The 9364-nt window shown below is 49.3% G+C and overlaps 2 annotated features.

Moving 5' to 3' along the window:
• Nucleotides 307–386: a silencer, noted in NCBI's record as "silent region_6747". NCBI's record gives its function as "represses an Ori minimal core promoter by ATAC-STARR-seq in GM12878 lymphoblastoid cells {active_cell/tissue: GM12878}" and the evidence as "EXISTENCE:reporter gene assay evidence [ECO:0000049][PMID:35858748]".
• Nucleotides 8097–8609: an enhancer, noted in NCBI's record as "NANOG-H3K4me1 hESC enhancer chr15:82392793-82393305 (GRCh37/hg19 assembly coordinates)". NCBI's record gives its function as "activates a minimal SCP1, AML or CMV promoter by ChIP-STARR-seq in naive H9 embryonic stem cells {active_cell/tissue: H9 hESC(naive)}" and the evidence as "EXISTENCE:reporter gene assay evidence [ECO:0000049][PMID:30033119]".

The following is a 9364-nucleotide window of genomic DNA, read 5'->3' as shown; positions in this document are numbered from 1 at the left end:
GAAGAACTTTAGGGCTGGGGCCTACTCGGCTTGGCACTAGCCATCACCCTGGATAAAAATATACTGACTTAAGATCCCCCAAGATCGTATCCTTACTAGAGCAAAGCGTTCAATCAATAGCAGCTATTGTGATCATTCCCTTGTCTAAAGAAGGTTTCTCCTAGACTCTCTGGAATACTTCCTGTTTAACTCAAGACTCACCCTCATGTAAGACTTTGCCTCTGGGGTCCTCAGTTGAGTGACACCAGTCCACACCCCCAAACCTTCAGCCTCTAATGATAGAGCCCGGAGATCTCCCCCAGCCCATGTGCCACATCTGCCTCCTTTCTGCCGCTGAGGTTCACCTGCGCAGCCCCAGCCCCAGCCCCAGCTCTCTGCTCCCCTCTGGTGGAGCCCTGCCGTACTGCCCTGCCTGGCCCCTGGCTGACTTCATGAGCTGGAAGCAGCTGCCAGCAACAGCCACTTGGCCCTATCAGAAAAATGTGAGGGAAGTTAAAGACCCAAAAAGGTGGGCCTTATCACGTAAAATGAAGACCTACAGAGGTGCTTTCGCCCTAATTTGTTGACAGGATAAAAATAAGGACGGGGTGGGAGAGGAAACTCATACTTATGAAGTCCCTGTAATGTGTTAGGCCCTTGCTATACACTTCATGTATGTTGTTTCATGATAGAACTGTGAGGCAGGGCCAGGTGCGGTGGCTCACACCTGTAATCCCAGCACTTTGGGAGGCCAAGGCGGGTGGATCACCTGAGGTCAGGAGTTTGAGACCAGCCTGGCCAACATGGTGAAACCCCGTCTCTCCTAAAAATACAAAAATTAGCCGGGCATGGTGGCACATGCCTGTAGTCCCAGCTACTCGGGAGGCTGAGGGAGGAGAATCACTTAAACCCGGGAGATGGATGTTGTAGTTAGCTGAGATCGTACCATGCACTCCAGCCTGGGCGACATAGCGAGACTCCACCTCAAAAAAAAAAAAAAAAAAAAAAGAACTGTGAGGCAGGTACTCATGTTTGCAGAGGAGGGAGATGAGAGTTTAAGTGACCTGCCTGAGACCAAATAGAGTGAAAGTGGCAGAGGTGGGATTGAAACACAGGACTGTAGTCTGCTGAATAAAGGGGTGACACAGGCCTGGCATGGTAGCTCACGCCTGTAATTCCAGCACTTTGGGAGGCTGAGGCGGGCAGATCATTTGAGGTCAGGAGTTCGAGACCAGCCTGGCCAACATGGTGAAACCCCTTCTCTACTAAAAAATACAAAAATTAGCTGGGTGTGATGGTGCGTGCCTATGGTCTCAGCTGCTGGGGAGGCTGAGGCACGAGAATTGCTTGAACCTGGGAGGGGGAAGTTGCAGTGAACTGAGATCGCGCCACTGCACTCCAGCCTGGGTGACCGAGCAAGACTCCATCTCAAAAAAGCAAGAAAGCAAGAAGGAAAGGAAGGAAGGAAGGAACGAAGGAAGGAAGGGAGGAAGGGAGGGAGGGAGGGAGGGAGGGAGGAAAGGAAGGAAAGGAAGGAAGGAAGGAAGGAAGGAAGGAAGGAAGGAAGGAAAGAAAGAGAAAGAAAGAAAAAGAAAGAAAGAAAGAAAAGAAAGAAAGAAGAAAAAAGAAAGAAAAGAAAGAAAGAAAGAAAAGAAAGAAAAGAAAGAAAAGAAAGAAAGAAAGAAAGAAAGAAAGAAAGAAAGAAAGAAAGAAAGAAAGAAAGAAAGAAAAGAAAGAAAGAAAAAGAGGCAGCATCAAGCAGGGAGATAACAGAGAGGGAGTGAATGTACTCAGCCCCTGTGTTGCTTCCAGAAGTCCAGATGGGGAAGGTTAGAGACCCCTTGCAGTGCCTGGCATTCCTGGCAGGGAACTTCTCCAGCCTGTGGTGGGGTGTAATGCTCTCAAGGTGGCTCCTCCACCCCTGCTACCTCACTCCACCTGCTCAATGTCTGTCACTCCTGGGACCAGCCATGGCCAGGTCAGTGAAAGCCTGGCTTGGGAGCAGATGAAGCGAGACTTCTGGGAAAGGAAACAGCTCTGAATGCAGCAGTGCCCTCTGTCTGGGCTCTAGACCCTGAGGCACACAGTCCCAAGTCTTCAACAGAACTGTATCCCGTCTCTGATAAACCCAGTCAGCTGATGGATGCTGTACCCCACCCTCACTCCAATCCTTTGGAGGAAGCCACTCCTAGGTGCTTCTGAGTCATGTATATGAAAGCATCCTTCATGGCGCCAGCTATGGGAGTACACCTTTCACCAGTGCCTCCTCAGCAGTGGAAGTTCCTCATAATACTTATTAAAAAGTGCTTTGCTCATTTTGTAGGTTAAAATGGCACTTGTACAGTCATTGAATCTGAGTTTTTACGGTGATTCGTGTTTTGACTCTTAACTATTTTTTTTTTTTTTTTTGAGACGGAGTCTCGCTCTGTCGCCCAGGCTGGAATGCAGTGGCGCGATCTCGGCTCACTGCAAGCTCCGCCTCACGGGTTCACGCCATTCTCCTGCCTCAGCCTCCCGAGTAGCTGGGACTACAGGCGCCCGCTACCACGCCCGGCTAATTTTTTGTATTTTTAGTAGAGACGGGGTTTCACCGTGTTAGCCAGGATGGTCTCGATCTCCTGACCTCGTGATCCGCCCGCCTCGGCCTCCCAAAGTGCTGGGATTACAGGCGTGAGCCACCGCGCCCGGCCTAACTATCTATTTTCTAGTGAGAATTGGATTTGACTAAGCAGATCTGGATTTAAATTCTGGATAGAAGAACCTGCGCAATTTGCTTAACTTCCCAGTACTTCAGTTTCACTGTTCCCCCTTTCATTTCAGTTTGGTTATATTTCACTTATAAAAAATTGATACTCCTGTTGTTGATTCCTTTCCTTGGTGTTTTCTTTGATTGCTTGAAAGCTGAGAAAATCACTGTTCCTTACTTTCTATTGTTTGTTTTGAACGACAAAGTGATAGATAAGTGAGAAATTGGTGTTTGGAGTTGGGAAATATGACAAGCTGGTTTTCCCAGCCATGTCATGGGGCCTTGGCTGGCAGGTTTTCCTGTAGTGCTGGGAACATTCTTAGAATATTCTGAGTGACCGAATTCCACAAAATGTCTGAAAATTCATCAGCAGACATGCACACCAGCTAATGATAAATGATTCATTCCTCAAATATTTATTAATAATCTGTTATATGATACAAGGTCCTGGGCTTGTCATGGATTCGGGGGCAATTCTGACATAGGTTCTGTGCTCTAGGATTGGGTAGTCGGGAGGAAGGTGGGGCGCTGGGGACACCTTGTTTGCCCCACAAGATCTCTCTGTGCCCTTCTCTACCTGCTCTGAGCCCCAGGAGGCTGGCCTGTGTGGGCAGCATCATGAGGTTTCTCTACCCTCTGTTTTCTTGGGCTCAGCCAGTGGGAGGCACCCACAGTACATCAGAGGGCAGGAGGAGAGCGAGGCCAGGGTGGTTATTCCCCCAGCTCCCTACCTGCAAGGCTGTCACCTGGCAACCTCTGTGTTTCTTTTCCCAAGGCCACAGCTCCAGTCAGGTGACCCTCTCCTGGTTCTAGTGCCTGCTCCTTCTTGTCCCTAGTCCTCAGGGTAGCTTTGACTTCTAACAGCTCTGGGGTGCTTCGTCATCCTGGTTAATGTCCCTTAATTCTGCCCACACCTTTGTAAATAGTCCCTGTCATTAAACCCTCTCCAGATCCTCCTCGTGTGTGTGCCTGATTGGTAAAGCATGATTTAAAATAATTGTCAGTGAGGCTGAGGGCTGTGGCTCATGCCTGTAATCCCAGCACTTTGGGAGGCCAAGGAGGGCAGATCACTTGAGGTCAGGAGTTCAAGATCAGCCTGGCCAACATGGTAAAACCCTGTCTCTACTAAAAATACAAAAATTAGCCACCACGGTGGCACGTGCCCGTAATCCCAACTCCTTGGGAGGCTGAGGTGAGAGAATGGCTTGAGCCTGGGAGGCAGAGGTTGCAGTGAGACGAGCTTGCACCATTGCACTCCAGCCTGGGAAACAGAGTGAGACTCTGTCTCAAAATAATAATAATAATAATAATAATAATAATAATAATAATACATTGTCAATGAAAGAAGAAAAGAATGGCTACAGAGGGGTGAGCAGTGCTGAGAGAGGGCAGCGGCTGAGATATTTCTTCCACTTGGGCATCAGAGACAACCTAGTGGAGGAGGTGGCACTAGAATCAGACCCCAAAGATGGAACTCAGATGTGAGCACAAAGGTACTCTAGGCAGGAGCAGCAGCTGGGGGCCAAGATCAGAGGTGAAGAGGGCAAGTTATTGTGGGATGGCCATTCTGAAAGTCTGGTCCCCAGACCAGTGGCCTCAGCATCGTCTGAAGAAATGCAAATTGGGCTGAATCAAAAAACTCTGGGGATGGAGCCCAGCAACCTGCCTTTTTCGCAAATCCTCCTGGTGGTTCTCTTGCATGCTCCAGTTTGAGAGTCACCAGGGTAGGGACAGCAGTTCAGAGAGTGGAGTGAAATGGGGGAAAATGTTGGAAAGCATGTGGGCCCAGGGGTTGTAGGGCCTTAAACAGCTGCAGGGTTTGGCTGGACACCGTGGCTCATGCCTGTAATCCCAGCACTTCGGGAGGCCAAGCTGAGTGGATCACGAGGTCAGGAGATACAGACCATCCTAGCTAACACGGTGAAACCCCGTCTTTACTAAAAATACAAAAAAATTAGCCTGGTTAATTTTTTTAGCCTGGGCTAATAATTAGCTTGGGCGTGGTGGTGGGCACCTGTAGTCCCAGCTACTCGGGAGGCTGAGGCAGGAGAATGGCGTCAATCGGAAAGGCGGAGCTTGCAGGGAGCCGAGATCACGCCACTGCACTCCAGCCTGGGCGACAGACAGAGCGAGACTCCGTCTCAAAAACAAACAAAGCAAAACAAAAACAGTTGCAGGGTTCGGTCTGCATTATTGTAGGTGATGAATGCTGTGAAGGGGTGTGTGTGCATGTGAGCATGTGAGTGTGGGTGTGGCCTGAGCGGGGATGCTTCTAAGAGTGCGTTTGGTTGGAGACGATCAGGGAGACGATCACCGAGGTAACTGTGATCGACAAACAGAGGAGGCCCTAAGGCGGTGCCTCTCAACCTCAGCACTGTGGACATTTCGGGGTGATAATTCTTTGTTGTGGGGCTGTCCTGTGCATTGTAGGATGTTTGGTGGCATCCCTGAACTCTACTCGCTGTGTGCCAGTAACACCCCTTGGCTGTGCCAAACAAAAATATCCCCAGACACTGTGCAACATCCCCTTGAGGGCAAACTCACCCGCGTTTAGAACCACTGCCCTAAGCCTTTCGATTTGGCTGAGACTATGGGATAGAACACTCAGGTTATCATGGCTGTATCATCTGCTGCATTTTGGCCACCGAGGGGAGCAAAAGACCTGCAGTGGTTACAGGCGAATGATCAGACATCAGTCAAATCAAGGATCTAATTGAAAATTGCTCATTAGAAATTAAGTATTGATCTGTTTGGGCAAGCTCTTTCAGTAATGTTCCCTGGTGGCCAATTTGTTCAGGTGACACTTCCTGAGGACAGCAGCTTCAGGAGCTCTCACAGCAGGTCCTGAAACAGTCAGGGGCCAGGCGTGGCTGGGTTGGGATCTGATCACTTAGGACAGCTTCCATCCTCTGCCTGCTTTCTCTACTGTCTCTGAGTTCCTCACTTCCTCTAGCCTCTTTTCTGTGCTCTCCTAACAATCTCCACTTGGTCATAAAGAGCAGTCATAGAACAGATGCCCCTTTTGGAGAATGGTCCCTGCCTCCTCTCCCCTCAGGGAGGTCACTTTTTTTTTTTTTTTTTTTTTTGAGACAGAGTCTCCCTCTGTCACCAGGCTGGAGGGCAGTGGTGTGAGCTCGGCTCACTGCAACCTCCACCTCCCGGGTTCAAACAATTCTCCTGCCTCAGCCTCCCAAGTAGCTGGGACTACAGGGGCATGCCACTGCGCCCAGCTAATTCTTGTATTTTTAGTAGAGACAGGGTTTCACCATGTTGGCCAGGATGGTCTCAATCTCTTGACCTCGTGATCTGCCCTCCTTGGCCTCCCCAAGTGCTGGGATTACAAAGGAGGCCACTCTCTTCGGGTGCTCAGGGCCCTCAGACCGCAGGCTATTCCTGCAACTGCCAAGAAGCAGGGGTTCTAGTCCAATCTCCACCAATCATTGATTGTGTAACCGTGGGACTGTGATTTAATCTGCGTGTGCCTGGGCCTCCTCCTCTGTCACACCAAGAAACAGATATGGGATGGGTGTGCTCCTGTGTCAAAATGAATAAGGAATTGGAAACTAGAGTCAGAGAGTTCAATGTCTGAATCCTGATGTCACCATCTACAAGCTGGGTGAACTTGGACAAGCCACTCAACATCTCTGAGCCCTAATTTCCTCATTGTAAGAGGAGATAATATCCCTGCCTCCAGGCTTTTGTAAGGACTGAGATCTGAGAGTAAAGCCTTTAGCCCAATGCCTAGCACATCATAAGCGCCCTTTATTATTACTGTTGTTGCTCTTATTCCTGATCTGCCTAACAGTGGTTCCAAAGCTCACTGAGGACACACTTTCTGGAGGCTCAGCTCTCCTGGATGTGTTACCCAGGCCATGAGGAACTGGTGGAGCATGCAGGCAGCAGGCCTCCTTGCTCAACCCAGCCCCAGCCCAATGCCACAAGGCCGTGGGTCACTTTTGAAGAGATTATTATACTCTAGGGACTGAGATGGGACTTAACCTACTGGGAATTCAGAGACATGGGAGGTTGCCAGGAAATCATTTTAAAGATTTTTCTGGAGGTGGCTTTTGATGAGCGTTATTGGTCAGAGGTTGAGTTTTCTTTCCACATCTTTACTGAGAACCCTCACAGACTGTTGAAGGAGAGGTTCACAACCCATACATCCTGTTTTCCTACTACGGTGGCTCTTCACGACTCTCACATCCCAAAGCCACCTTAAAGTGCCTCTCTTTCCTCCAGCCTGGGTGACAGAGCGAGACTCCGTCTAAAAAAAAAAACAGTGCCTCTCTTTCGTTCTCAATTTCTCACCTCAGCACAAAAGAGAAACTCTCTCTGAACCCAACTCCGGTTGGCCTGTCACTCCCTCCCTTCTCTTCCCACTCCCACTCTCAATCTCTTCTTTTTCCCCTATAAACAATTTTCCTGCTCCTTTCTAAATGCAATTAAGTATTTAATAAATCAGCTTTGCCGGGCCTGGTGGCTCATGCCTGTAATCTCAGCACTTTGGGAGGCCCAGGCGGGCAGATCACGAGGTCAGGAGATCGAGACCATCCTGGCTAACACGGTGAAATCCCGTCTCTACTAAAAATACAAAAAATTAGCCAGGCCTGGTGGCGGGCGCCTGTAGTCCCAGCTACTCGGGAGGCTGAGGCAGGAGAATAACATGAACCCGAGCAGAATCATGTTTTGTCAGAAGAGAAGAAGCTCAGGAACCAAGATGGCAGACCCAGGAGCTCCCAACGAAGGAAGGGCAGGGGGACAGTGACCAGAGATGGGATTTGCTTTGCTAGGCTGTGGGAAGGGGAAAATACCACAAGCACATGTATTTCCATTTTATATTTTGATAAACTGATTTTTTAATGATTTGTTATTGTTAAGATAGGAGAAAAGTCAAATCAATGGCACAGCAAGTGTCAGTGTGGTTGGGAGGCAAGCTAACACCCACACACAAGAAAGAGGATCCCTCATTCCTCCTCCCTGAATTTCTCCTTTTCTTTTCACCAGTGCTGTGCAATCTGTTTCATTCTCCTACCTCTACGCCCTGAAAGTAAAATGATTGACTAGGAAAGCCCAGACCCGCTGCGAGCAGTTGTGGGTGTTTCCATCAGCACTGTCGGAGGTGAGGATCCACAATAGTTGCTCTTGCGTGGAGATAGGAAGCACCATCAAGTCTGCCCCTTCTGGGAAGTGTGGAAAGCCTCTCAGTCTCAATTACCTGCAGCTCAGAGGAAGACTAAGGGAAACTGAGGCACAGCTGAGCATTTCCCAAGCAGAAATGCCCTTCCTAGGAAGTAAGCATCCTTTCACTCCAGGCTGTCCATGCTGAGGTTTCTGTAAGTTCTTGAGATGGGGTATTTGTCAGGTCGTAAATATCTTCGGATTGAAGCTTGTCTCTGCTACTTTGGCAGCCTAGTAGAACTGGAGATCCACGCTGACCCTCGTCCATGCTGACCTCATGGCAGCAGGTGACATTCGGAAGATGCATGAGAGTTTCAGAAAGCACAGGGTGAGGGAGGAATGCTGGACCAGGTCAGAAATGCCGCTGCCATATGGGTGAGCTCTGATTTTTTTTAATCACTGAGGAGGCAGGGGTTGTCATTTGATCTCGCTGTCCTTAATTCCTCCCATCCCCAACAGATTTGCATGAAACAGAACACCAAAGAGAGTGAAGAAACTTTGAGGAGGAAATTGTCTGAGGCTGATGTCCTGGCAAAATAGGCAGAGGATAAAGTGGGGCCGCTGTGGCCTTCTGGAGGTCCATCTGAAGCTCATCGGCTGAGTAGCCTGGGCCCAGGCCAGCCGTGGGCTCAGCAGTGGTCTGGGCAGAAGGCTTTTCTCTTGACCCGTTTGGCATATCTGTGACTAGAACAGAGCTCAGCTATTTCCTCCCTTTTACATCTAAATACAGGATTGCGGCTGGGTAATTAGAACCTTTTTTTTCCCCTGCTGGAGCACAGGGCAGCCATGTATCAGCCAAATTGCTCCCATTCTTAGCATGGCTCGATCCTGGGCCATTTTCCCAAGTTCTGAACTATTACATATTTGTCTCTGGGATGGCACCATTTGTGGTGGTGAATGTGCAGTTGTCTGTGACGCTCTCACATTATTTTCTTTAAATTTCCACCATGAGGCTTCAAAGAATTCAGCCCTTTCCATCAACATCAGCATAGTTAGGGTCTTATGAGTAGTCAGCTACTACAGCTGTGCTTCCAGGGAAAGCCTGGCTTCCAGAGGCACATAGACACATTAGTGCTTCTACAGGGCATTTAGCCAGGAGGGAAGGAAGGTCTGGAAAGCAGGTTGGGTGAGAAGAGAGGTTCAAGGTGCGGGGTTTCTCCTAAACACCCTGGACCATTTGTTCGTGGGGCTGTTTGCACCTCCTGCCTCTTGTTTTGCTTCGTGTATGTGTACAAATACCTTAAAAGTATAAGTGTTCCAGCACTTTGGGAGGCCGAGGTGGGCGGATCACGAGGTCAGGAGATCAAGACCATCCTGGCTAACATGGTGAAACCCTGTCTCTACTAAAAATACAAAAAAAAATTAGCTGGGCCTGGTGGAGGGCGCCTGTAGTCCCAGCTACTCGGGAAGCTGAGGCAGGAGAATGGCGTGAACCCGGGAGGTGGGGCTTGCAGTGAGCTG

Source organism: Homo sapiens, chromosome 15 (assembly GCF_000001405.40).
Source record: "Homo sapiens chromosome 15, GRCh38.p14 Primary Assembly".
NCBI classification, from domain to species: Eukaryota; Metazoa; Chordata; class Mammalia; order Primates; family Hominidae; genus Homo; species Homo sapiens.
The sequence above is the reverse complement of the archived record's forward strand: the minus strand, read 5'-3'. Positions and strand labels throughout refer to the sequence as shown.